The sequence below is a fragment of the Homo sapiens genome, chromosome 7 (assembly GCF_000001405.40).
Source record: "Homo sapiens chromosome 7, GRCh38.p14 Primary Assembly".
NCBI lineage: Eukaryota > Metazoa > Chordata > Mammalia > Primates > Hominidae > Homo > Homo sapiens.
In genome coordinates, this window is record NC_000007.14 from 158,521,147 (window position 1) to 158,548,886 (window position 27,740).

At 54.1% G+C, this 27,740-nt stretch overlaps 1 protein-coding gene and 1 non-coding gene across 14 annotated transcripts in view, besides 6 other annotated features; both read right to left on the reverse strand.

Annotated features, from left to right (window-relative positions):
- PTPRN2 (protein tyrosine phosphatase receptor type N2) overlaps positions 1–27,740 on the reverse strand; it is a 1,048,768-nt gene that overhangs the window by 982,091 nt on the left and 38,937 nt on the right. The window contains exon 1 of one of the 13 annotated variants that reach the window (NM_001308268.2): positions 20,280–20,630. The exons of the other annotated variants lie outside the window; for them this stretch is intronic. Coding sequence (NP_001295197.1) covers positions 20,280–20,460 — 181 coding nt within the window. The 5' untranslated portion in view covers positions 20,461–20,630. Of the gene's footprint in view, positions 1–20,279; positions 20,631–27,740 lie in introns of those variants that run through there. 13 annotated transcript variants of the gene reach the window in all.
- Positions 3,231–3,525: a silencer, noted in NCBI's record as "tiled region #11620; K562 Repressive non-DNase unmatched - State 22:ReprW". NCBI's record gives its function as "represses a minimal TATA promoter and a strong SV40 promoter by Sharpr-MPRA in K562 cells {active_cell/tissue: K562}" and the evidence as "EXISTENCE:reporter gene assay evidence [ECO:0000049][PMID:27701403]".
- Positions 5,824–6,324: an enhancer, noted in NCBI's record as "H3K4me1 hESC enhancer chr7:158319662-158320162 (GRCh37/hg19 assembly coordinates)". NCBI's record gives its function as "activates a minimal SCP1, AML or CMV promoter by ChIP-STARR-seq in naive H9 embryonic stem cells {active_cell/tissue: H9 hESC(naive)}" and the evidence as "EXISTENCE:reporter gene assay evidence [ECO:0000049][PMID:30033119]".
- Positions 6,325–6,825: an enhancer, noted in NCBI's record as "H3K4me1 hESC enhancer chr7:158320163-158320663 (GRCh37/hg19 assembly coordinates)". NCBI's record gives its function as "activates a minimal SCP1, AML or CMV promoter by ChIP-STARR-seq in naive H9 embryonic stem cells {active_cell/tissue: H9 hESC(naive)}" and the evidence as "EXISTENCE:reporter gene assay evidence [ECO:0000049][PMID:30033119]".
- Positions 9,115–9,884: an enhancer, noted in NCBI's record as "H3K27ac-H3K4me1 hESC enhancer chr7:158322953-158323722 (GRCh37/hg19 assembly coordinates)". NCBI's record gives its function as "activates a minimal SCP1, AML or CMV promoter by ChIP-STARR-seq in naive H9 embryonic stem cells {active_cell/tissue: H9 hESC(naive)}" and the evidence as "EXISTENCE:reporter gene assay evidence [ECO:0000049][PMID:30033119]".
- Positions 9,885–10,653: an enhancer, noted in NCBI's record as "H3K27ac-H3K4me1 hESC enhancer chr7:158323723-158324491 (GRCh37/hg19 assembly coordinates)". NCBI's record gives its function as "activates a minimal SCP1, AML or CMV promoter by ChIP-STARR-seq in naive H9 embryonic stem cells {active_cell/tissue: H9 hESC(naive)}" and the evidence as "EXISTENCE:reporter gene assay evidence [ECO:0000049][PMID:30033119]".
- MIR595 (microRNA 595) lies at positions 11,572–11,667 on the reverse strand. Its single transcript, NR_030325.1, has one exon. It is a non-coding gene; the product is annotated as a microRNA 595 (primary transcript).
- Positions 16,937–17,921: an enhancer, noted in NCBI's record as "H3K4me1 hESC enhancer chr7:158330775-158331759 (GRCh37/hg19 assembly coordinates)". NCBI's record gives its function as "activates a minimal SCP1, AML or CMV promoter by ChIP-STARR-seq in primed H9 embryonic stem cells {active_cell/tissue: H9 hESC(primed)}" and the evidence as "EXISTENCE:reporter gene assay evidence [ECO:0000049][PMID:30033119]".

Below are 27,740 nucleotides of genomic sequence, written 5' to 3' on the forward strand. Positions count from 1 at the left end.
ATTTGTATTATTTTTATTGTTGTATTGTTATTTTATATTTTTTTCCCCAGTACTTTCAATCCTCTGTTGGTCGACTCAGGCAGAACCTGAGGGTATGCAGGGCTGGCTGTATTCTTGCCCAAAGGGACCTGAGAAAACATCTAGACCAACGCACAGGACTGTGTGATTCACCCGAAACCACACAGTTAGTTGCTGAGTTAGAGACAGTACTAGGTGTCTGGCTTCCCAACAGGGTGAATTATTTCTGGAAATTGTTTTTTCTCCCTGCATCTAAATTTAACAATGAGGAAATCTATTAGTAATCAGCAAGATGCTGAAGCAGTAACTCCAAAATCAGTTGACGAATGATTTCTCAGGAGCAGCACGCTGGGTGCTGGCTCAGGAGGAAGGTCCGCATCGGAATGGTGGACTGTCCAGGTACTGGCTCAGGGGGGAGGTCCACGTCACAATGGTGGACTGTCCAGGTAGTGGCTCAGGAGGGAGGTCCACGTCACAATGGTGGACTGTCCAGGTGCTGGCTCGGGAGGGAGGTCCACGTCACAATGGTGGACTGTCCAGGTAGTGGCTCAGGAGGGAGGTCCACGTCACAATGGTGGACTGTCCGGGTAGTGGCTCGGGAGGGAGGTCCACGTCACAATGGTGGACTGTCCAGGTGCTGGCTCGGGAGGGAGGTCCACGTCACAATGGTGGACTGTCCGGGTAGTGGCTCGGGAGGGAGGTCCACGTCACAATGGTGGACTGTCCAGGTACTGGCTCAGGAGGGAGGTCCACGTCACAATGGTGGACTGTCCGGGTACTGGCTCGGGAGGGAGGTCCACGTCACAATGGTGGACTGTCCGGGTGCTGGCTCGGGAGGGAGGTCCACGTCACAATGGTGGACTGTCCGGGTAGTGGCTCAGGGGGGAGGTCCACGTCACAATGGTGGACTGTCCAGGTGCTGGCTCAGGAGGGAGGTCCACGTCACAATGGTGGACTGTCCAGGTGCTGGCTCAGGAGGGAGGTCCACGTCACAATGGTGGACTGTCCGGGTACTGGCTCGGGAGGGAGGTCCACGTCACAATGGTGGACTGTCCAGGTAGTGGCTCAGGAGGGAGGTCCACGTCACAATGGTGGACTGTCCAGGTGCTGGCTCGGGAGGGAGGTCCACGTCACAATGGTGGACTGTCCGGGTAGTGGCTCGGGAGGGAGGTCCACGTCACAATGGTGGACTGTCCAGGTGCTGGCTCGGGAGGGAGGTCCACGTCACAATGGTGGACTGTCCAGGTGCTGGCTCAGGGGGAAGGTCCACATCGGAATGGTAGACTGTTTAGGAGAAAGGTCCACGTCAGAATGGTGGACTGTTTTAAGAGGAAGGTCCACGTCAGAATGGACTGTCCAGGATGGTGCATGTGCAGGGTGTGTTCTGGCACCACTGTGTGTGTACAGCGAATCGCTCTCTGTAACCTGGCCCCTGGTGACCAGATGCACTTACAACATGCACCTTGCTGCGGCTAGATGCAGTCTGTGGACACAGATTAAGGTGAAGTGAGGGCATCAGCATGGTCTGGAGTCCGTGAGGCACTCGGACCACCGGAGCCAGCCCAGGGGTTGGCACAGTCTGCAGGGCTCAGCGTCTCCCCTGGTTCTCACGTGGACATTGGCTTTCCTTGTCTTGAGAGCAGCTCACCATCACGAGTTCTTCCAACAGCCCAAGTCTTCATTTCCACACACTTGCTTCTGTGTGTGGCAGATGTGGAGCTGGAGAGAACAGACCTGCCGTGAGAAGGGAGAGGGCAGCAAAGATCACCCAGAACTTGCTGGGACTGAGATGAACAAAAGTTACCCAAAAATGGGAATTTCAAGAATAGCCAAGGGCTTCAACAGAGGATGAGCTGACACTTAGATTTAGGGATTGTCAGCATCACCGTGGCTGCTGACATCTTGAAAACTGGAAAATGGGGTCTCAGAAGAACAAGATAAGAGCGCAGGAGGCCAGGGTGTGACTCTTGGGGTCCAGGAGGGGACATCACAGGAAGCACAAGTTGGAGGGGCCAGACGGGTTGCAGCCAGGTTGGGGTCTGGGGAGCCCCAGTGTGACCAGGGGCGGGGGTGGTGGGTGAGCCTCAGCAGCCAGAGTGGTGCAGACACGTCCCACGGTGAGGGCTGGTGCGGACAAGAGATTAGCCAAAGGAGCAGCCACCATGCTGCCGACAGCGAGTCTGCCCTGAAGTGGAGTCTGCCCTGGAGTGGAGTCGTCTGCCCTGGAGCGGAGTCATCTGCCCTGGAGCGGAGTCTGCCCTGAAGCGGAGTCTGCCCTGGAGCGGAGTCGTCTGCCCTGGAGTGGAGTCCTCTGCCCTGGAGTGGAGTCGTCTGCCCTGGAGTGGAGTCGTCTGCCCTGGAGCAGAGTCTGCCCTGGAATGGAGTCCTCTGCCCTGGAGTGGAGTCGTCTGCCCTGGAGTGGAGTCATCTGCCCTGGAGCAGAGTCTGCCCTGGAGTGGAGTCATCTGCCCTGGAGCGGAGTCTGCCCTGGAGTGGAGTCGTCTGCCCTGGAGCGGAGTCGTCTGCCCTGGAGTGGAGTCGTCTGCCCTGGAGTGGAGTCTGCCCTGGAGTGGAGTCGTCTGCCCTGGAGTGGAGTCGTCTACCCTGGAGTGGAGTCTGCCCTGGAGTGGAGTCGTCTGCCCTGGAGTGGAGTCTGCCCTGGAGTGGAGTCGTCTACCCTGGAGTGGAGTCGTCTACCCTGGAGTGGAGTCGTCTACCCTGGAGTGGAGTCTGCCCTGGAGTGGAGTCATCTGCCCTGGAGCGGAGTCTGCCCTGGTGTGGAGTCGTCTGCCCTGGAGTGGAGTCGGCCCTGGAGTGGAGTCTGCCCTGGAGTGGAGTCGTCTACCCTGGAGTGGAGTCGTCTGCCCTGGAGTGGAGTCTGCCCTGGAGTGGAGTCGTCTGCCCTGGAGTGGAGTCATCTACCCTGGAGTGGAGTCGTCTACCCTGGAGTGGAGTCTGCCCTGGAGTGGAGTCATCTGCCCTGGAGTGGAGTCTGCCCTGGAGTGGAGTCGTCTACCCTGGAGTGGAGTCGTCTACCCTGGAGTGGAGTCGTCTACCCTGGAGTGGAGTCTGCCCTGGAGTGGAGTCATCTGCCCTGGAGCGGAGTCTGCCCTGGTGTGGAGTCGTCTGCCCTGGAGTGGAGTCGGCCCTGGAGTGGAGTCTGCCCTGGAGTGGAGTCGTCTACCCTGGAGTGGAGTCATCTGCCCTGGAGTGGAGTCTGCCCTGGAGTGGAGTCGTCTGCCCTGGAGCGGAGTCTGCCCTGGAGTGGAGTCGTCTACCCTGGAGCGGAGTCTGCCCTGGAGCGGAGTCTGCCCTGGAGCGGAGTCTGCCCTGGAGTGGAGTCGTCTGCCCTGGAGTGGAGTCTGCCCTGGAGTGGAGTCTGCCCTGGAGTGGAGGGAAGTGAAGCCAGATCGCTGAGGAGTGCGAGGAAAGCTGTTGGTTGTTATGGTCAAGCCCCAGAACTCGTAGATGGATGTCCCCAGCCCAGTGCCTCAGAAGGTGACTGCGTTTGGAAATCAGGTTTTTGCAGGAAAAATTGGCGTTAACCCTCAGCATGGAGTGGGGATTGGTCCCAGGACCCCCACTTACGCCAAAATCTTCACACACTGAAGTCCTGCAGCTGCCCCACGGAATCTGCATACACAAAAAGTCAGCTTCTGTACACTTGGCTTTCACAGCCCTCAAATACTGCATTTTTGATCCATATTTGGTTGGAAAGATCCATGAATAAATGAGTTCAGACCCATGTTGTCCCAGGGCCCACTGTAGTTCCGATGAGGCCACTGGGGGCTCCTCCAGCACAGCCAACACCACCTGTGCCAGCATCACTGCCCTTCGAAGTGTGGCCCCAGCAGCGGTCTCCTGCACCCTCCGAAAAGACAGCCCTTGGAAGACTGTGGCTCAGGATGCAAGGCTCTGACTGAACCCTCAAGCTGGCCCTCCATGCGAAGAAATGCTGCGTCCCAGGCCCTGCACAGTGCTGGACTTCCCAGCTCCAGGCTCTGGAGCCGGCTGCAGAGCACAGCGTGAGGCAGGCCCTGACCGCTCTGGAAGGAAAAGCACCTCTGGCAAGTAGTCCAGAGGTGAAAGTTTCTCTATTTTGGAAACTGGGCATCTGCCAAGGAGAACACACGGCCCCCTAATGTGCAACAAAACCGTGAGACCCGAGCAGAAGCTGCAGCAGAAGGTAGCACGGGCAGGATGCTAGGCCCCAGGGGCCATGGGCTACGCACGGGCCAGGTTTCCAGCCTGCCAGCCCCATCCAGACTTAAGGACGGAAAGTGGGACCAAGGCTGAGCCGCTCCGCACCCCTCGCTCTACAGCTGGACACAGGCTCTGCAGAAATCCTGAGCTGGGGCCACCCCAGCCTCCCTGGCCCAGAACAGGCGCTCACTGTATCTCCTCCCTTCCTCCTGAGAGGTCCTACGGGATGGAGTATTAATAGTGCCGTGTTTAATTATTATTCAGCATAATCACACATATTACGGGGATTTTTAAAGATCCTTTCATGCACAATGAGTATTTATCTAATGTGCCCTCCTCATTCCCAAGCAGCCCTCGGGGGCAGATGCCCCCATCTCCCAGGACATCTCTGCTGGTCTCTCTCCACGGCACCTGCTCCACAGCCACCTCTCTCTGCTGTGCTCACACAGTGTGGAAGCTCCCGCTTCAGCAAGAGGAAAGCCCCGATGATACAGGGTGAAGACGCCTCCCCTCACAGACCTCAGACCTGTCCCAGAGCCCTGACAGGAAGACCCAAGCTCTCCTGAAGCCTTAGGGTCTCAACATCCCAAGCCGACAATGCCCCCCCATTGACTCGGCTCTCTGCAGACCTGCAGACCTGCAGCCCAGCCCCTACTCTCCCCTCTGGCTGGCATTGTGCAGTCCTTCCTTCCTCAGCAGCGCTGTGTGGGAAGGGGGACTATCTGCCCAGTCCCTGAGGAGATGATGACTTCCTACAGCTTCTGAAAGGGCCCGCTCTGGGGGGAGCCACATCAGGCAGACACACGGCTCCTGGTGTTGGCAGGGTGCCGGCGGAATCCAGGGCAGGATTCACTTGTGTGGCGAAGGGGTCACCCCTCGTGCAGGCTCAGGCCCTCCCTGCCCACCTGTGGCGGCGAAGGGAACTGACACCACTCCTTCCCGGTGAGCTCGGCAGGGCTGCATCTCTCCCGTGGGACGCTGCAGAGATAACCAGGTAGAGCCACGCTCACGAGAACCACCAGCCACTCTGAGCTAGGACGGGGCACAGGCAACCACGTTCCCACAAACACAGGGTCTGGAGGTCTCTCCGCTGGTCACGGCCTCGGAATTCCGACATGCTGGACTGTGGCTTGGGAAACTGACTCGGTTGTTCTCCATTCCTGATCCCATTTCCTGTTTGTGGGTGTGATGGCTGAGTTGTGCACCCCAAAGTTCATACACTGAAGTCCTGACCCCCAGGACCTCAGAATGGGACTGTATTTGGAGATGGGTCTTGAAAGAGGTGATTTCAGTAAAACGAGGTCGCCGGATGGGCCCGGATCCAGGCTGACTGGGTCCTTATGGAGGAGGAGGTGAGGACACAGACACGCACAGATGGACAACCCTGTGGGGCACAGGGAGGAGACGGCATCTGCCAGCCAAGGGGAGAGGCCTCTGGGGGAACCTGCCCTGCCGTGCTCTCATCTTGGACTTTCGGCCTCCAGGACTCAGAAATGTCTGTTGTTTGCTAAGCCGCCTGGTTTGTGGGGGTTTGTTAGGGAGACTGAGCCAATTCATACAGTGGATTCCGCCACTTTCTTTCTAACACAATGAAGATAGAGTTGGTGACCTCCTCAAACCTTCATAAAGGCATAACTTGTAACAACACAAGTTATGGTTTGTGACAAATATCACCAGAAGCCCCAAGCAGAGTCGAGACGTGCGCAGAAACTGCACAAGCCAACCTGGCTCAGGCCTGGGAGAGCATCCCTCCGAGGAGCATCCCTCCGAGGATCCCCCACAGCCTTCCCGTCCTCGGAGCAAATGCAGCTGTGTCCTTCCCGCACCGTGGGCCTGGCCCTCACCTCCCCCCACCCCACACCCAGCTTCTCCACCAGCTCCCCAGGCCTCCTCCCCACAAGGCGCGTCCTGGGCCTCCCTGACCCCGGCCATGCCCCCCGCCACCGGAGCCACTTCACTGCCTTCCCTGGCCACAGCTCCCTGAAGACAGGGCCAGCCTGCGTCTCCGTGTCCAGTCCTTGGACGTGCTAAATCCTCAGCGAGTGTCTGCCAAGACACATGTGATGAGCAGGTGAAGGAACATGTCTGACCTCCTGCTTCAGTGCCATGGAGGCCTCACCAGCCCCAGGCCATGGGCTGGCCTCTCCATTTCCTCCTTCTGAGAATACCGTGGAGTTGGGATTGTGTTTGCCTGTTTACAGGGACTACGGTCAGTGTCCCTCCCAGGCCGCTGGTCCTTCCTAACACCTGGCGGCCCACTGCTCAGCCATGTGGGGGTTGTGCACAGGGCAGGGCTCCGAGGTGTGGGCTCCACTCTGTGGGGGGGTCTCACAGCAGCCACACAGAGCTGGCCATTCCCTCACCGTGACCTCTGCAGAGAGTAGAATTGTCTGTGTACATGGGGCTGGGGCCAGGCTGTCCTCCGCCAGCTCTCACCCCAGGCTCCCCTGGTCTTCCTGCCCCGTATCCCAGATTCATCAGCACCAGCCACATCTCACCTGCCCCACAAGCTGCGCCTCGGTGCTGCTGTCTCAACCACCTTCCTGTGTAGCAGGGACCACCTACCTGTGTTGCTTGTGCTATGTCTGTTGGTTTAAAGCCCATCTCTGATCCCGCCCGACACACAGCAGGGACTCAGCAGGACACTCAGTCTAAACGACAGGGTAGGGGGCAGGCAGGGACAGCCGAGGAGCTGCTCCTGGGTGTTCCTGTGTTGTGTGAGCACATGGAGGAAGTTGGTGTGTACTAAGCAGTGAAGCTGCTAGCAACTGGCTGTGTAACAGCTGCCAAGTAACACATCATGTTTCCACAGAGCTCCAGAGGCATCAGCCTAAACAAGAGGCTCCCGAGAAGGTGCACTCATACAGTGTGGTGGGGGTACCCGTGCTTGGGTGCAGGACAGGCGGGGGCACCCGCCTGGGCAGCCTCCAGATGCTGCTGAGGTTTGCCATGGGGTATGAACGCCAGGTGACGTCCCAAAACAGGCCACTCAATCACTCCCCAGAGCCGGTCAGCCGTCTCTTGCCCTGTGAAATGCACATTTACAAAGCGTCACCTGGTGTATCAGGAACAGGTTCACTTGCTGTCTCAGACCTGTGAATGCCTACATTTCAGCTGATTTAGAACCACGCATGCTGGGCCAGGCTCGGTGGCTCACACCTGTAATCCCAGCACTTTGGGAGGCTGAGGGGGACGGATCAAGAGGTCAGGAGATTGAGACCATCCTGGCTAACACGGTGAAACCCCGTCTCTACTAAAAATACAAAAAAAAAAAAAATTAGCCAGGTGTGGTGGCGGGTGCCTGTACTTCCAGCTACTCGGGAGGCTGAGGCAGGAGAGTGGCATGAACATGGGAGGCGGAGCTTCCAGTAAGCCGAGATCACACCACTGCACTGCACTCCAGCCTGGGCAACAGAGCAAAACTCCGTCTCAAAAACGGAAAAAAAAAAAAAAAGAACTGTGCACGATGGACACTGGCCTCGGTGAGTCCACAACAGGAAGCAAACAAGGATTAAAGTGCCCGGAATTGGAAGACACAACATTTCCTACACAGCCTGAGTCTAAGGTGATGAGGGGTGGAAACACCAGCTCCTCAGGGGGCCAGCCCTGTGAGGGAAACGTGTGCTCACGAAAGTCAGCCTGGCCTTCGAGCCCACCAAGGGGCTTTGGGATCACACAGCCAGGGGCAAATCTCAGCTCTGCAGCCTGAGAAAAGTCACCCAAATGCCTCAATCCCCTTCTCAGACAGGCAGACAGACAATAATAACAATGATGCCTGGGACACAGGACATTAGAATGCCCGCAGCACTCACACAGCACCTGGTGGGCACTAAGCACCCGTCGCTGTTGGTCCTGGGGCTAACGCTGATGGGAGGAGCAGCTGCGTGCATATTTACTTCTGAATATTTTCACATTTTAAAATCATCTCCATTTTGCTTTGGAATGCGTGGCATCTCTGCTGTGCAGGTGCTGACACGCCCCAGAGCAAGCATTGGCTGTGTCGGCAGAGGAAGGTGGGAAGGCCCAGGGGAGGCCAGCAGGAGGACGGACTCACCAGGACACCCCCAAGGACAGGGAAGGTGCTGCTGACCACGGCCAGCAACGACGAGCCATGGTGACAGCTCACACACAGCTGCAAACTCACATCGCTGCCTCTGGAACCACAGAGTGCTCTGTATTAGATATTTTGTGCATTTTTGACCAAAATGAGTCAAATGTGGGGAGAGTGGCAACTGTGTGAGTCTGGGCTCCAATCAGCAGCGAAGATGCAGTGTGGGAATGACAGCAGCTTCCCTCTGCGGACACAGCACACACTCACCACACCTGGGCTGTGTCCACCAGCCCCAGGGGCTGTGGGGAGGGGCGGTCACCAGAAGGGGCCAGGCGGGAGCAGGACCAGCTCACAGTCTCCCCAGGCCTCCCCAGCCAGCATGAGTTCTCAGCATCTCCTCTACACACATGGACAAACACCACACACACGTGTACATCACACATGCCACACACCACACATATGCACACCACACACGTGCCACACACAGCACACATATGCACGCTACCACACACATGCACACATGTATCTCACATACCACACACAAGCATGCACGCCACACATGCCATACACACCACACGCATGCCACATGCACACCCCTAACTTAAGGCCTAGCTCCAAGTTTCTGTCACAACCAAGAGGGAAAACAGAGAGAATGCAAAAGAAGTGAGATCCATTCCTAGGACAGGCTGACCCCAAAAATAAGTAGAATTACGTCAGATATTTAGAACATGGAATTAGTGATTTGGTTCCCTGGCTAGTCCATCAAAGCCTGTCGATCCAAAATACAATTTAAATGCCACATGCTTGCAATAAAAAGCAATGGAAAGCAAGGTCTTTACAGTAATAATTAAGTGAAGCAATGAAATTGAATCCAAAATTATTTTTTGTTTCTCTTCAATACTGATGCTGGTACATGAGGAAAACAGAACAAGCATAATTGGACTGAATGAGGGAAGGTGGCAATTTGCGGAGGCTCTGCAGGAGCTCCTGGGAATGCTGGGGACCTGGACATCCCACGCCGGCCTCCCCGTGTGCCACAGACTCAGCTCTGCTCCCTGGAGCAGGTTTCATGCACTGGGACAGGGAGCTCTGGTACCCCACGACTTAAACACATAGAGCAAGGCGGGGGGGGTTCCATGTGGGCAAGGTGAAGAGAAAGCCCACGATGGAACCAGCTACAGCACACGTGTGAGAGCGTGTGCCTGTGAGCACCCATGTGTGCATATATGTGTGCCCATGTGAGGTGTATGTGTGCAGGTTTACACTAACATATGAAACAGAGTGAGTGCTGGGGTTGCAAAGACCCAGACCACAAAGAGCTGGTGGCAAAGGAAAAGAAACATGCACACTCCCAAGATCTGTTTCACAGCAGAACCCACTCCTTCCTGCTCCTGAGGGGCGAGGCAAGAGGTGTCGGGCCATGTGGGTCCCATGCAGGTTCCAGGAAGGACGTTCACTCAGCAGAGCAGGGGAATGGCAGGCTGGGGGGAGCTAGTGATCAAGTGCCCTCAAAACATACACGTGTGTGTGTGTAAGCATGTGTACGGATGTATCTGTATGCGGATGTGTGTGGCCACATGTATGTATATGAGCATGTGCATGGGGGTGTGTGTGTGAACATGTGCATGGGCGTGGGTGAGCATGTGCACACAAACAAAAACAAACCACAACAGACTGTGTTCAAAGCGAGAGGATCCCTAAGCTGCGATGAGGGAACTGAATTTAATGTCCTAGGTTACAGCCCGGCCAACAGCTGCCCCAAACCATGCCTGACACAGCAAATTTACAGACACATCACCCTACAGCGCTCAGGTAACGGCTTCCCAGCCACGCCCCATTACCCACGTCCCATGCTGCCATCCAAGAAACGCTCCAGGGAAGGGAAGCCAAGGCTGTCAGTTCACATCTCCCTCTCCAGAGTCGAGCTCAAGCCCGCGGCTGCCACCCTCCATGAACTGATGGGGAAGGGGGCCACAGGAAGGCCCCAACCCCATCCAGATCCAGGCCTGCGAGCCCAGGGGTGGCACAGAAACAGCAGGTGTTCCCTGAGAGAACGACCCAGGGCTGTGGCAAAGCCCCCTCCAGGCTCAGCTCATCCCACCTGTGGGGAAGGCACCATGAGGCCTCCTCACGAGGCAGACGGGTGTTTGCTGTGGTGGACAGATGCCCACATCTCACGCGCAGCCTCCTGGAAGGCAGCAGATGCAAACACCCCAGCTGAGAGGAGGAGGCTGAAGCAAGTGCAGGAAAGAACAAAACCAATGCACCACTGGACCATCACCTTTAGAGAAAAAGGTTAAGAAATCTGTATCACATAAAACAACCTCCAAACACCAGGCTCGACGCCCTCACCCACCACCTGCCCTCTGCTCATAGAAAGAACGTGGTGAACAGGAGCATATTTTACACAAACACATGCCTCCTCCCAGCCACGCTGGCTCCAACCTACTAGGCACCTGGAAGCTGAACGCATCACTGCACTCACACGTGCCTAAACACTTAGGTGCGCCGAGAAGCCCAGGCATTTGGGGTTTCCACTGACAAGGACACGGAAGGCAAAAAACCCAAAGCAACGTGGGTCCTTCCCTCTGAAGGGTCAGATAAACCGGCTTATTTTATTCTTAGAATAGGTTTTTGCCACAGTGAAAACTGAATAAACAACAAAGTCAGAAAGGGGCGTGTCCATCCACAGACTTTAATCCTGCATTAACAGAGGCTCCCTAAAGAAGGGGGTGCCGGAGGGAGGTGCAGACCGCTTCAGGGTTGGCCCAGCACCTGGGTGGTGCCCATGCCCCCAGTGTAAAAAGATCCTCAGCTCGTCGGGCACGACCTTGCTTTGTTATCTGCTCTTGGCCTCTGTCCATTCTCAAGCCACGTCACGTCTCTATGACCAGGCTCTTAGATGCCCAAAAGCGACATTGGGAGAGGAAACTGTCAGCCCCCAGCGTGGCTCCTGTGGCTTCTGAGAAGCCCCAGATGTCAAACAGGCATCAGAGCATTCCAGTCACGTGCCCCACAGAGTCATCACGGAGACAGCAGAGACAGCCATGAGATTTGCTCAGACTTTCAGCAAACCCCCACCGATGCCTCCACACTGGAAGTTGGAGCGTGGTGGACCGTGCGTTATAATAAAGTTGCTATTGTATGTGACTTTGATCCTACAAAGAGGAAAAAACATGGGTAAAAAGTAAGAAAAGACCAAAAACGTCACTAAACTTCAAAAACCCGGGACATGATGTGATTAGAGGAACAGCATGGAACATGGCAAAAAATACATAACAAAACAACAAAAACCAGCAACAGGCGCTTCCTCCAGACACACCACGGCACACTTCAACCTGTTCCTTACAAGACTACATTGAGCGTGCTGGTGTTAAATGCGTGCAGGCTTCCGTGCAGGAGCCCTCTGCACATGGCAGAGAGAATGTGGCCCGTGCTGCACTCTGACGCGCAGACCATCTTGATGGCTCAGGGACGGCCAGGCTCCACCACACCTGCTCCCTCCTGACTGGCCTCTCTCTACCAAGCCAGGGACAAGGCCTCATCCCCAGAACCACCAAAGGATTAACTTAAAGCAAAACAAACACAAGCAAACAGAACAGAAATGACTTGGGTTCCTGTCACTTTGTGCTCCCAAGCCATTCCAAGAGACCAGCAATTAATAACTCGCAAAGAATTAGCTCACCTCCAACAACCACGGGAGCTTGAAAACCACTTCCTTCCCTAGTTTTGTTACTTGCAGAATGAACTGATTCTCAAATCCCTGGAGATACTGGGCTGAGTGCATTTGTCCTAATTACAGCAACATCATCTTCCTCAGTGCACCCTCGCTCACAGGGCAGCGCCCAAGATCTGCACTCACCAAAGTGAGCCTCTCACAGATGGAATCTGTGCAAACTTTAAGTCCCAACAAAACTTTGCCAAACTCACTTGTTGAGCAAGAAGCTCAGAAATGGAGATTTCTAGGACCCTCCGCATCTGGCTGCAAATCCCAGACACAAACCATCCAAGGAGATCGCACCTTTGCCTTCCACTGAGTGGCCCAACGTGGAGTGCTAGGAAGCCATCAGGAGCCAGACAGACCTATGTCCACTCCCGGAGGCACCGCCAGGACCCTGTCCTGCGTGATGGGTCTCCCTGCAACACACGAGGAGTCCCTATCCCAGGGGCCAGAGGGGACGTCCCGCAGAGACCGTCCTGACCCCAGCCCTCTGCATTGCACCAGGTGGACACCACAGAAGCTCTAGCCTGAGGCACCGAGCCGTCAATCTTCCATCAATCGATGAAGCTCTCACCTATAACGGACATCCTTTCGCCACCACACAGCATTTACCAAGCTTTCCAGGGTGCCCTGATGGACATGCTCACAATGCCTCGGGGATTTCCTCTGAAGATGTGGATGCAGAATGAACACCATGAAAACACAGCTCCCACTCCGGGTACATCCCAAAGTCGCACGTCAGGCCCTCCGTGCCGCCGTCACAGCTGCTCTCTCCCCAGCCACCACTGCCTTTGCTGGGGATGCCTTGCCTGAAGATGCAGGGGCTACCCTCCCTGGGCCTCCACTGGCCAGTGCAGGTTGTGACCACCCACCCCCCGGGCTCCATCAGGGATGGCTGTGGGTGCAGGTTGTGGCCACCCATGCCCCGGGCTCCATCAGGGATGGCTGTGGGTGCAGGTTGTGACCACCCACGCCCTGGGCTCCGTCAGGGATGGCTGTGGGTGCAGGTTGTGACCACCCACACCCCGGGCTCCGTCAGGGATGGCTGTGGGTGCAGGTTGTGACCACCCACCCCCCGGGCTCCATCAGGGATGGCTGTGGGTGCAGGTTGTGACCACCCACGCCCCGGGCTCCGTCAGGGATGGCTGTGGGTGCAGGTTGTGACCACCCACGCCCCGGGCTCCGTCAGGGATGGCTGTGGGTGCAGGTTGTGGCCACCCACGCCCTGGGCTCCGTCAGGGATGGCTGTGGGTGCAGGTTGTGACCACCCATGCCCTGGGCTCTGTCAGGGATGGCTGTGGGTGCAGGTTGTGACCACCCATGCCACAGGCTTCATCAGGGACAGCTGTGTGCTGCTCTTCATTTCCCAAACGCAGTGGGATCAGGCCTGGCTGGATGTCTGAACTGCGACTCTGCCCCAACTGCTGCCCTCATTGCCGTACCCCAAGAGCCTCCATCCATCTTGCAATGGAGCTGCCACTCAGCTTGTCCACCACAGTCCCTCCTGAAGACACATCTCTGCGAAGCTCCCCCCATCACCCAGGCCAAAGCTAGCCTACCACGTCACACAGTGGCCATCTGCCCGGGCATGTTTCACCTCGGCTGTGCAGACCCTCTGAAGACGAGACATTCTCCATATGTTTCTTGGCTCCAGGCAGCTCATCGACAGATAACATCCTGCTAGATCAGCAGAGACGACGCCTGCACGTTGGGCAGCCTGCACAGCCAGGGAGGGCGGGGTGGGAAACGCAGCGGGAGACAGTGAGGTGGGGGTCTGGAAGTCCTGCCTCGAGCCTCGTCAGCAGGCAGGCGTTTCAGTGTTCCCCAGAACTACACCTCAGTATGCCCTCGCAGAAAGGAGCACTTCACACAACATCTTTAGAGACCAGCCACCTCCAAAGCCTCTGTTCCTCCTGCATTGCCTCCCAAATGATCTCCCAGCCTGGGAATGTCAGATTCTCAGATTCCATGGGGTATTCTTTTCTGTGGCTGTTACTCATGTAATCTAAGGAAGTGTTGAAGTTCTGAGTTACCCTGTAGCAAAGGCATATCTTGTTCCTTCCACAATCTGGTCGAAGAAAACAGCAGCTTTGATCTCAGATACTCTTAACTACTCAGTACCAAGGGAAGTTGTGGGCTTTGAGCCAACCACACCTAATGTCAATGCTCACTCCCTCCCCATTCAGCTGCGTGAATTCGGGTAAGTTTCTTACATGAGCTGAGCCTTGTTTTTCCTTTCTGTAAATTGGGGATTTAAAATGCCCACCTCACTGGGTCATGGTAAGAACCTGCAATGGGAGGGTACCTGCATTTAATCTGTGCTGTTTTCGTTCTCCTGATACAGAACTGTGTCAGAATCCTGCTTTCTGCGGCTGGACTATTTGTCAACTGCCTGTTAGAGCACCTGGGGAGCGGCTGGGGCTTTCTCTGGGGTCAGACCATGGCACTGAGGACTTCTTGTAGCATTCAGGTGGCTATTGAAATCATACAAAAACAATTAATAGGCAACCATTAGAAATTAGGCAATAAAGTTTTTTCAGTTAGTTGGTCAACTGTGTACACAACACAAAGCAGAATACAGAGTGTGTATATGTCCTCAACCATGATTGTTTTTACATAAAGTGTTTAAAAAAAAAGACTGGAAGGAAACACAGTAAATCTTAATATAGCGGCTATACTTGATTATATTTGGGATTTTTTCTTTCATTTTCTATAAAATGTCTAAGTTTTCCATCCAGTTTATTTTTAAAATCTGCAAAAGTACTTCAAAAATGAGTAATCTAAAAGTCTGGTTCCATACTAGATAAGATGAAGAAAAATAAAATTTCAGTTCACATCCAAAAGGTTGGGACCTTACTAACCAGAACCCCACACATAACCACACAAAACACTCAAAACAACCACACAAAGCAACCACAACTCCAGCCCATACCTTCCATTTAGTTTTGTTGTGGATGTTGGCGATGCAATGCCCCAAATCTCATTAAGCCCATCAATTAAAATTCAAAAATATAAAACATGAAAACTAAAATAAAGAAGGTCTGAAATGCCCTTTAAATTTTGCTGAAAATCATCACCTCCTCCTCTGGGTCCAGACAGGGCTAGACAGAGGCTTGCCTAATGAAAGTGATTGTCTTAGATTTGAAACTTTGCCTGGTTTCATAAACTTGATGATGTTTTCAAGAAAATAAACAATAAGAAGTTAAGTAAGTGCTGCCCTGCCTTGTCTATTGTGCACCAGGCACACATGAAGACACAAGGGCCTTCCCAGCCCACTATAACCCAGATGGGACTCAGGAAGACCCCACAAGGGCCTTTCCAGCCCGCCATTGACAAGATGAGACTCAGGAAGACACAAGGGCCTTCCCAGCCCACCATCAACAAGACGGGACTCAGGAAGACACAAGGACCCTCCCAGCCCACCATCACCGAGACGGGACTCAGGAAAACACAAGGGCCTTCCCAGGCAGCCATCACCAGGATGTGACTCAGGAAGACACAAGGGCCTTCCCAGCCCACCATTGACAAAACAAGACTCAGGAAGACACAAGGGCCTTCCCAGCCCACCATTGACGAGATGAGACTCAGGAAGACACAAGGGCCTTCCCAGTCCACCATCGACAAGACGAGACTCAGGAAGACACAATGACCTTCCCAGCCTGCCATCACTGAGACAAGACTCAGGAAGACACAAGGGCCTTCCCAGCCCACCATCAATAAGACGGGACTCAGGAAAACAACTGAGCAAACATCTGTCAGTAGGACACGGGTGGAGACAGACTGTGCCCCGGACTGAATGTGTGAGTCCTCCCAAAACTCCTACGTGATGGTGTTAGGAGGGCCCTCTGGGACATGACTGGGCCATCAGGGTGGAGCCTCAGGATGGGATTAGTGCCCTTATAGGAAGAGACTCAGGAGCCCACCCTCTGCTCGCCCCTGTGAGGTCCCAGTGAGAAGACAGGCCTCTGCAAACCAGAAGCAGGCGCTCCCAGACACCAAGTCTGCTGGCACCTTGACCCCACACTTCCAGCCTCCAGAAATGTGAAAAATAAACATCCATTGTTTAAGCCCGAGGCTGCAGCATATTTGTTATAGCATCCTGAGCGGACTATGATGAATAGCATAGCCAAATTAGGATAACTGGAGAGGGATGGCTTACAAGGGCAAGGGTCAGGCATAAGGAACCACAGGAAGAGGCTCTCTAGTTCAGCAGTAATGTCGTCGTTAGCACCCAAGGCCCAAACGAGGAAGCAGAGTCATGCATGAGAGTCAACTGTCAGGAAACAGTGAGCTGCAGCCCAAGGACAGGCCAGCGGGGGCTGTCGCCAGGGAGGAAGTGCAGTCCACATGCCGTCTCTATCCAAGCTCCAGCTCCCTCTGCCATTCTCCTGCCTCAGAACAGGGAAAAGGTGCTCTGAAGCTGCGCTCCCTTCCACTCAGCCAGAGAAGACCAGCAGACCAGGGGCCAGAGGCAGGTGAGTCAGGACAGAGGTCAAAGGACCCACAGACCTGTGGGACACAGAGCAGGACGTGGAGGGTGGGCACCCCGCAGAGCACCCGGCCTCATCTGCCAGCCCAGCAACGAGCCTGGACTGTGCTGCAAACTCGATTCCTTGCATATAAATGTGAACATTAGGCTAAATGACCCTTACATTACCAGTTTATCTCACCAGCGCTTTCAGCCTATTTCTTATTTAGGTCTCTGATAAATGACTTCATCTTTATTTATGAATGTTCCTTTCCCTGTAATATTTGCTAGCTTCACCTTGACCTCATAAATGTAATTTGTTGTTTCAAATTCTAGTAGCAGAACTGCATTTTAAAATGCTGAAAAGCCATCACTTTAGAGCTGGTGAGAGAAAACATTACTTTTTTTCATTACTCATTTCTTCTAGATTTGGAAGCAAAATCTGGCTTTCCAAGCACGGAAGGAGTAGACCACCACAGGGACAGAGGGTCCCCCTGTGGAGCTCTCTTCCGGACGCTGGCGGAAAAGAGCACAGCTCGTGCACCTTTAGAATCAGTGCCCCTTTTTAGGGGCCCCCTGTAAGTGGCTTTGTTTCTGGAAAATGTGGGGACACTTTTCATACTCGACGTAGCCCACAGCCAGGTCTGTGCACCGCATCTCGGAAAGTGTTTCGAGACCTGCTCGTCCGGTGACTGGCGCACGCTGCGCTCCCTCACAAACACTAACCCCAGTGGTTCTCCTCCCAGCACTGCCCCTCACCCCTGCGCGGCGTGTCCCTCTGGGAATCCACTCGCAGGCGACCTCCAGCGTGTGTCTACTTGCTGCTTCTGTCCCTGTTACCACCAAGGCTATGGCTGCAAGTTTCCAAGGAAAAAGCGCAGCCTCCGTGGGTCGTGATTTCTGTGGCTTCTATAATGCGTGTGTGCCTCTCCCAGCCGTCACACATGGCGTCTCAAGTGCCCCAGCCCACCCATGGGACCTGCAGAGACGCATCCCAGCGCCCTAGGCACTGAGAATAGGTGGGCGCTCACCTGACAGTGGCCTCCCATCCTCCACTGCCTTGAGCCCTTTCCCATGCACTGCACTACGGACACCCCAGCCACTACCTCATCCCAAAAGCAGGCGGCACCACGGGGCGGGAAGAGGAACTCAGGTCCGTGAACACCTGCCTCGTGCAGGGCCCTGACTCCAGTGATTCTCGCAGCCTCGTAACCCCAACAACAGGCCCCGGAGCTCAGCTTTTTATTCCCACTTCACAGATGAGGGAACGAAGACACGACCCACCCAAACTCACAGGTGGGCAGGGGGTGGTCTGACTCCCAGCCCAGTCCCAGGACCTGCTGGAAGTGAGGCAGCACGAACCCCCCAGGGCTCAGCTCTCCAAATCCAAAATGGAGGGGTTTCCCTTCACCCCTCAGCGCTCTGGAGGGAACGACAACTGCAGATTCCAAGGTGTTTCAGGGAAAAGCCATGCCCCCCGTGTCAGCCAGCACAGCCTGCAACGACCACACTGGTAACAAACAAGTAACTGTCCCATTTTCCCTGAACTATGTCTTCAATTTCATCTAAAAATGGAACTATGAATTCCAATGAGTCAGAGAATCTTTTAAAATGTATATTTAAATGCACTAAGATATTGAGTTGCTATATATCACATTCACCCTCTAGGCACCTGAAGACACAAGTGACAGCAATATTGGCTGTGTGCATTTCATTAAATAGGTTTACCCCCAAAACTGTCCACTTGCCTTTTAAACATCCTTAGGGTTGCTGCCTTCAAAAACAAGCCTTTTGTTTCCACAGAGAAATGCATGCAAGTGGCTCCTCCCTGCAAATCAGAACATCTGACCCTGGCCCAGCACCGGACTCCTGTCCTGGATGTGGTCTCAACAGCACAGCCTTGGAGCAAACCCAGGGAGCTCGAATGAGTGACGGTCCTGGTGTGGGTTCAGCCATAACCTCCAGGACAGATGAGAGCAGGCACTTCTAAAGGGTGGCCCTTCCGAGAGGGAAAGGCCTGGAGCCTTACGCTGGAGCATGCTCACTCTGGGGGTCTAGCGCCGAGTCCCGGGTCCTGAGGGACACACTGTGAGCCTGGAGTTGGTGACGGCTGGGGACATACTGTGAGCCTGGAGCTGATGACAGCTGGAACCGGACGGTGCACTGTGAGCCTGGAGCTGGTGACGGCTGGGGACATACTGTGAGCCTGGAGCTGGTGGCTGCTGGAGACATACTGTGAGCCTGGAGCTGGTGACGGCTGGAACCAGACATTGCACTGTGAGCCTGCAGCTGGTGACAGCTGGGGACATACTGTGAGCCTGGACCTGGTGACGGCTGGAACCGGACGGTGCACTGTGAACCTGGAGCTGATGACAGCTGGGGACATACTGTGAGCCTGGAGCTGGTGACGGCTGGGGACATACGGTGAGCCTGGAGCTGGGACTGGCTGGGACAGGCTGGTGCTGTGTGGTCTGGTCAGTGTCCCCACGTGGCTGCTGCAGCGGGTGCCTGAGTGGCCTTTGCAGTCACACACAGGCAGGGACCGGGTCCCATGCCCTGGCTAGCCAAGGGCCTCACTCTGCATTTCCTCATGGTTCTTGTCTCTGCAGCCGGGGGCTCCCAGGAGCCTCGGGCCCACCAAGGCATCACCCTCCCTTTTTACTCCAAGCGTATTAGGGTCTCCTGCCCAGAAGTCACTGTCAATGCCCTTAACAAAAAGGGCTGTCAGCCCCTCCCTCGGGCCAGAGGAGCCCTGGAGAGCTAAGGTTCCTGGGGCTGCACAAGCTCAGCCCCCAGCCTCTGGGGCTCCATGGCTGGGCCCAGCTAGAGAGTCTATAAATGTGGAGGTGACGTGCTGGGTCTCGGGGGGCAATGAGGAGCCCAGGCTGGGCCCCCCACCTGTGCTCCATGGGAGGAAAGCACATGGCCAAGGGGGGGTTTCTTTGGAGGTGGCTCTGCTCCCACCCATGCCCCCAACACGCGTACCCTCCAAAGGGACAGCAGAGCGTCACCACCCCACATCCAGACGAGACCACAAGGGACCCTGGGGCTTCGGGCAGGGGTGGGGTCGCCCCAGGGCCCACCGTGTGTGTCTGCATGGAGGAAGCTCTAACACCTCCCACCGCCAAGGTCTCTTCTGCCCTTAAAATTCCATGAGCTTTTCCTTCAGTGTGGAAGAACCAACAAGTTCTCGGGGCCTCCATCGACCTGTGGGGTTAGCACTTCGGTTTGGCTTTCTCCATTAGGTCACCAAGGCCAATGTGCCCCAGTGGCTGGTAACAACGTGTGCCACGTGTCCAGTATTTACCGAGCGCCAAGCACACAGGTGCTGCCCACAAGTTACCTTCTTTAATCCCTACTACCACCTGCAGGATAGGAATCCACTTTTTTGCAGACGGGCAGCTGAGGCTCGGAGAGGTTAAGTGAGCTGCTCAGGGCTGCACAGGTGCTAATTGGCAATGCTGGGATTTGAATCCAGGTCTATTCTGAAGCCTATGGCCTTTCTATTTGCCACAAATCATCTAAGTATTCATAAACACTAGTGTGCCTGGCACCTCATAAATCGGTGCTTCTCATGTTTGTCTTGAAGACATAGGGTAAATTTTTTGCTGTAAATTTCAAAGGGACATTCAAATTCTTTGGTTTCTCTAGGGCTTTGATCATCAGCACGTGCTTGGAACTGTCACTCAGAACTCTGGGCTGTGGTGGCATTTAGTGCACTGAGTTTTGACCTGTCCTGAGCCCTACAAACCTAACTTGTTGTTTTCTAAAATTAAGGCCAAAATGCCAGCAAAGCAAGCATTATTCCACCCGGTTACCTGCCCACATCTGCACCAGACACTGCCACCGAGGGTCCACTGGCTCCGTCCTCTCCCTCGTCTGTGGACCTGAAACAAACATCACTTCCACCCTGGGCAAGGTGTGGCTCACACAGAACATCTTCATAGTAGGAAAGCTGGCTTCGGTTCTCAGCAGTGAATATTCAGATTCCACAGCCATCTGGCTGTCATTTCACAAGCTCTTTGCAAAATCTGGCTATAATTCTACCAAGGTACGAACGTTAGTTAATCTGTTGAAGACTTAGCTAAGTGAACTAAAGAAAATTAAAACACTTGCTTAAAGCTTGCCGCAGCTCAGAACCCAAAAGGGCTGCGGACGCATAAAAGGGGAAGTATCAGAGGAGAAGGGGCCAAGGCCGCTGGGGAAGCTGAGAGACTGCAGAGCACCACGCATGCGCATCACACCTGCTTCCAATTCAGGGAGCTCAGAACTGGCTAGCATGAGGCTTGTTAAGTCTGTTCATGAAGTAAACTGGCCTAGCTCACTTCAGAAAACAGCAAGGCTTTATTACAACCATGAATTAACAGACTGCCAATTGATATGCTAATTACTAACATTTCTATATATTTGTCAAATAAGATCCCTAAGGAAGAAGAGACAATGTGACTATCTGGCTTGAGTTACAGTCTTTAACAAAATAAAACCATGAGTTTTCTAGATTTTTCATTAATTCAAACCAGCCCCTTCTTTTTTTGTTGTTGTTGTTTTGTGTTTTTTGTTTGAGATGGAGTCTTGCTCTGTCACCCAGCCTGGAGTGCAGTGGTGCAATCTCGGCTCACTGCAACTTCCGCCTCCCAGGTTCAAGCAATTCCCCTGCCTCAGCCTCCTGAGTACATGGGATTACAGGCGCACGCCACCATGCCCAGCTAATTTTTTTGTATTTTTAGTAGAGTTGGGGTTTCACCATGTTGGCCAGGCTGGTCTCGAACTTCTAACCTCAGGCAATCCGCCCACCTCGGCCTCCCAAAGTGATGGGATTACGGGCGTGAGCCACGGTGCCTGGCCTTTTTAAATTGATTTCCTACTCTTACTGGGACATAAGAAAGCTATGCAAAATTCTTCAGTGCATCAGTTATGGGAAAGAAGGAACCAAAGCGCAGAAGGGATGTGCCCAGCGCCATTTTTAAATGTAGCTGAAGAGGCTGCAGCAGCGTCCATCCCTCTCCCAGCGGAGCAACGCTCAACCCAAGCAAGTGAGCTCCCTCTCTGTCAAAAACTCTGCAAGCAATTTTTTCCTCTCCTTCTAATATTAAATTGTTTCTGAGTTTGTCAAATACTCACAAGGGAAGTTTTCTACGACATTGATGTGGGTCAACAGCAAGTCCATGTCCCTGGGTTCTGTTTGCAGAGGAGGATTCCTTTCCCATCTGTCAGGGCAATGCTGTGGAATTCCAAAGCCCACTGTCTACGGAACAGCCAGCCCATTACTGGACATCAAAATGCCTGGACTTCTGAGCTCCAAAGGGCATCAGGAGATGGGGGAGCCGCAGAGACCACAAAGCCCCAGCTCTCAGCTCCCACGTCCTCACCGCACCCCAAAGACAGGGAATGTCATGCGCCGGGTTGGGTCAGAATAAGGAAAGGTTAGAAACTCTTATTTTCAAAATAGTCTAGCCACAGTTTTCTTAATGAATGCCTTTATCAGATTTCATTTGAAGAAAAGGTCTTCTGCTTTAAAAAGGCTGCTCTTGTTCAGTCCATTCGCTTTTCAAACAACAAAACTGAGGCCCAAAGAAATGAGGATGTGGCTGCAGACAGCACCCCCGAGCACGGAGCTCACCTTAGTGGGTTCAATACGCCAGACACACCTGCCTCCAACCCTCCCCACCCCGAGGCTCTGAAGGTGGGTGGGAAGAAGGAAGGCCCGGAGGGAAGCCGCCATCAGCTCAGCCACCCACAACGGCCGCCCCGCCGGCTGTTCCCAGCAGGGCTGTGCCCCTCTAGTCCTTGGATGGATTTTGCAGAGCCTTCTAGGAGGCCTGTCTGCCACACACGTAGCTCAATTCAGTTTTGCACTTTGTTTTCCTTCTTGTGGTAACTAAAAACACTCTGGCATGTAATTCAAAAACAGCATTGAGGGTAACTGCATAATGTAAAAAAACTGTTACCAAGATGGCAGAACATTTGAAATTATATTTGCACTTTGGGACATACAGATAAAAATGTGATCTTATGTTAAGTGCTGCATTTTCCAAAACCACGTTAAATTTATGTGTGAGGCCTCGTTGAACATGTAGTAAGTGGATGTTCTTAAAATTGGCTAATTCCATGTCAAGGTTTCATCAGACATTTCATCTACCCTCTAAAATTAGTTTGTCAAAATACACACACAGTTGAGTCAATCTCTTTCCTCACAAAAATCTACTGAGACCGGATCTTGTCTGGGTCTCGGAGCCCAGGACAAGGAAAGGGGTCAGCCTCCCGGCTAAGCTGCCTCTGCACCAGGCTGCCCCTGCCCACAAGGCAACCCTCAAGAAGCAGCTCCGCACTGTGGGTGGACTGAGCCACTGGGCATTCCTCCCTCCAAAGGGTCCAAAAACCAGGGCAGCCCCAACTGGCCGGGAAAGCTCCTCTGGGCTCTGCCCCTCTGCACGGCACCAGAGTTGTGCAAGGAAGCAGAGGAGGCGGTGAGTGCCCCACGCTCAGGAGTGCACCCGGTGGAGGGGGATATGTACACCCGCCTGGGAGGGGCCAGAACCCAGTCCACACTCTGCCCGCATGATCTGCCTCTCCCCAAAACAGACTATCATTACCCGGTGTGACTGGGCCAATGAACCCAAAAACAGGAACGGCAACGTTGACTCTAAAGCAAGCGTATCCAGCCCACAGGCCACGGCCCACGAGATGGCTCTGAATGTGGCCCAACACAAATTCATAAACTTTCTTAAAACATTATGAGATTTTTTGGCCGGGTGCGGTGGCTCATGCCTGTAATCCCAGCACTTTGGGAGGCCAAGGCGGATGGATCACTTGAGGTCAGGAGTTTGAGACCAGCCTGGCCAACATAGTGAAACCCTGTCTCTAATAAAAATACAAAAAAATTAGCCTGGTGTGGTGGCACATGCCTGTAATCACAGCTACTTGGGATGCTGAAGCAGGAGAATCACTTGAACCTGGGACGTGGAGGTTGCAGTGAGCCAAGATCGCACCATTGTACTCCAGCCTGGGCAACAAGAACCAAACTCTGTCTCAAAAAAAAAAAAAATTATGAGATTTTTTTGCAATTTTTTAAAGCTCATAAGCTATCACTGTGTGAGTGTATTTTACGTGTGGTCCAAGATAATTCTTATTCCAGTGTAACCCGGGGATACCAAAAGATTGGGTGCCCCTGCTCTAGAGTGAACACAGAAGCACTGTCTGGGGCACCTGTTGTCCTGGGGTTCAAAGCCGCTGCCACCTTCTTCCCTTGCAGTTTTCTGCTAACACTTACACCTGCCCACACTGGTGCTCACACTCACGTGATCACACCCACTCTTTCTTCTTGTGGAAAGCCCCACGTGGAGCAGAGGGGCATCTGGAGCTCCTGCCCAGAAATGGGAAGGTGATCTGCATCCTCCCAGGCCCCCTCTGGAAGCTCCAGGTCCTTCCTGACTCCAGCCCAGCCCCACCCACGGCGAGGAAGGCACCTGCTCGGACACACCTGGGAGCTGGCTCTCACTTCCAGCCTCAACATCCACCGGGTTTTTCTGGACTTAGCTGGCTTTCACTGATTTTTTCTTTTTTGCTAAAAGGAACTAGAAGATATAAAACCTCAGAGCCTCTATCCACCCAGTCTTCATCTGAGAAAAGCACAAATAACAGATTCTTTCAGTTTGCCTGTGTCTCTCACCACTAAGCTGTAAGAAGCTCCCTCCAAATGAGAACGTCACACATGCAGGGACCAGTCCTGTGCTGCAGACCGACGCAGTGGGAGGCCACATGCGTTCCTCAGCAGCTGCAAATACCTGTTTCTTATTCCTGTTACCATTTTCTCGTATTCTCAAGTAGAACTGTCCCTACATTTCCTTTCCTTTTCTGCACCCTTCCAGGATGGATGTGGGTCACTTTTCCACCCTGAGCAGCCGTCTGCGGGCCTCAGGGTTTGCGCTATTCTGGAATATCGTTGGTGGGGCTGTTCACACCCCGCTCCGTGTGGCTGATGAGGAGCTGAGGGCCACTAGTCTTGTCTTGGTGAAATCACAGAGCAAGTGACCAGCACATTCTCTGAGGCTCTGGAGTTGCTGTCACCCCCAGCAATCCTGTCCCTGTTTCCTTCAAAATTTCAAATCTTGCCAGGCCCAGTGGCTCACACCTGTAATCCCAGCATTTTGGGAGACTGAGGTGGGCGGATCACCTGAGGTCAGGAGTTCAAGACCGGTCTGGCCAACACGGCAAAACCCTGTCTCTACTCAAAATACAAAAATTAGCTGGGTGCGGTGGCACGCGCCTGTAGTCCCAGCTACTCAGGAGGCTGAAGCAAGAGGATCGCTTGAACCTGGGAGACAGAGGTTGCAGTGAGCCGAAATTACGCCACTGCATTCCAGCCTGGGTGTCTCAAAAAAAAGAAAGAAAGAAAGAAAAATTCAAATCTTAATTACAGGACTTTCAAAATTCCAGGAGGTAATTTACCTCCAGCAAGGGCTGGAGACCAAAAAAACTGGGCCAACGGCCCACAAACACGTGAGCCAGGTGAAGGGTCATGCAGAAAAGCAGGACTGGGTGTGAGCATGAGGACAGGAAGGGGGAAGGGGCTGGACACGGCCTGTCTCCTCCCTGAGAGGAACCATCAGGGAGCCTCGGTATCAGCATCACACTCCTGGTGACAGGGACAGAGACGGCTCCTTCCACTGGATGTACAGAGCGCTTCCAGCAGCTTGAGCTTCACGCCTGCCCGGAGACGGGGTCCGCGAGGTGCCAGCTTTGCACTGTCAAAGGGAATCCCTCCCAGGGGAGGACGGACTGAGCTCTCAGAGTCCTTTGGGCACCACAGCCCGGAATGGTGCTGGAATCACAGCCGCCGGGTTAAGGGGCTCATGGCGGAGGCAAGCCCCAGTGTCCCAGGCGCCATGATGTCTAAGTGACTATAGGGCCATGAAGAAGGGGCCTCCTGATAATCCCTACCAGCAGCCAGGAAGCACCCTGGGAAGCCCATCGCCTGTTGCCCTCCCAGGCCACACCTTGACGTGGGAGGCCACGGGACAGACGCCACCTCTCCCGAGTAGCAGGTGGGTGACTACAGAGGTGCTCTGAGGGTCTTAGGCAGAGCTGGCCATGCTTGCCTTGGTGAAGACCCCAGCCACCAGCCTGGGAGGCCCGGTCACCCCACGGCCAGCGCCTGCCAAGTTCTTGTGAGTTGAGCACGTCTCACGTATGCACCAACATGCAGATGCACACACAGGGCATGGGCACTCCAGAGGGGCTCAGCTTATGGTTAACGCTGGGGCTGCCTTCATCTCACGCATGCTGGGCAGCCTGGGCACCTGGGGCAGGGCTGGGGGACAGCCCAGCCATCTTCAGGGCCCCAGGTGAGGCCACAGCCAGCCCATGCAGAGCTCAGAGCTCACGGCAGAGCGGCACAGAAAGAAGCTCAGACCCAGGCCCTCCTGCCAGGCAAGGCCCCCGGACTCACTCACCCCACACCACCGATGTCAGGGGTTCTGTGCAGGCAAAGTGGCCTTCTCTTTGTATTGATTTTGGGGGCTTTGTTTTTTTTAACTAAACTTTTTTTTAACTGTGGTAAGATGCACATAACATAAATAAAATTTACTATCTTATCAGTTTTAATATACAATTCTGTGGCATTCATTACATTCACTACTATACAACCACCACTGCCATCTGTCTCTCAAACTCCTTTCATTTTGCAAAATTGAACTTCATTCCCTGTAAATGCTGACTCCCCAGCCCCTGGCACCCCCAATCCTATGCTGACTCCCCAGCCCCTGGCACCCCCAATCCTACGTTGACTCCCCAGCCCCCGGCAACACCAATCCTACTTTCTGTCGCTGACTCTGACAACACTAGGGGCTGCTATAAGTAGGATCTCACAGTGCTTGTCCTTCCGTGTCTGGCTTATTCCATTCCATATAATGTTCTCAAGGCGCACCCATGCTGTCGCAGAGGTCAGGGCTCTTTGCGTCTATTTTTAAATAAAACACCAGCTCTGGCTTCAAGGGAAAGGGGCCTGTTGGAGGACGGAAGAGGCAGGGACCCTGCTGGTGGAGACTGGAGCCCTGGGAGGCACTCCTGGGTCTTCCAGTGGGTCCAGCAGAGGCTGATTCATGCTAGAAACAAGGGACTTTCCATGCAGGGTCCAGGAATGCCTCATCAGCCCCCCACCGTACCCCCTGTCCACCTGGCCTTTGAGGCTGAAACACTGCACTCAAGAGCACTACTCTGTCCCAATATCAAGGCAACGCTTCTCAAGGACATGGGCTGGCCCGAGTATCAGTTTGCAGCAAAAACTGTGAAGATTAATCAAAAGCCACCTCCCCCAGGGAAGCTGTGACTCCCAGGCACGACCTTGCCCATGGGGGTCACCCACTCCGACCCACAGGGGTGGCCGAGGACCTGGATCCCGGGGCTGTGCCATCCCTGCCTCCAGGCCAGACATCCAGCAGGTTTCCCAGGAATCTGCACACAAGATGCAGCACCCTCGGCTCAGACTCAAAGCGGCCAGCAGGAGCAGGCGACATCCACTCTGCATTGTCCATGCTCTCCTCATGTGGATGAGGAGCAGGACCAGCACTGGAGGAGATCAGGATCCTGTCACAATGTAAGGTCATCTGTGCCTAGTGGATCAGACGCTGTGAAGAGGAGTGTGTGCAAACCTCACTGCTCTGAACGGCCCTGATCCAAGAGCAGCCGGCCCCGATTGTCTTTGGTTACCAGGAAATGTTAGCAGATGCAGTCCATGCACTGCCACCGAGGTCACTGGTGTTCCTTTTCTCTTTCAAGGCATTGGTCAAACTGAGTGCCTTCCAGCATCTTCCCCAGAGAGCACCACCCACAAGGGTGCACATGGGCTCTGCCATGCTCCCGTTCCTACCTGCCACTCCACCGAGCTCCGCCCGCTCTTGGTGACCCCTCAGCGATGACCAGGGGGCTCTTCCTACACCAAAGCCTCTGGCTGCAAGCACATTTCTTCATGACTTTCTCTTTCTTAAAAATGAGTGTAAATTTTGCACTCTTCTTTGTAACATATGCCTGTGTGCCTTTTATGATAAAGGTGTTTTCTTCCTTTTCATCAGATACACTGGATGCTCCAAGAACAACACGGGTTCTCCGTGTGACTTCACACTCCCCCAGCATGACTCTAAGCCCAGTGTGGGACCAGCGTGAACCCAGGCGGCCTCTAGAGGGGAGGCAGGAGCCGCCCTGACCACCAAAGCCAGCGCAGGAGGGGGCTCTACAGGATGATGTGTTGAGTGGGCACAACTCCACAAAGGAGAGGAACCGCA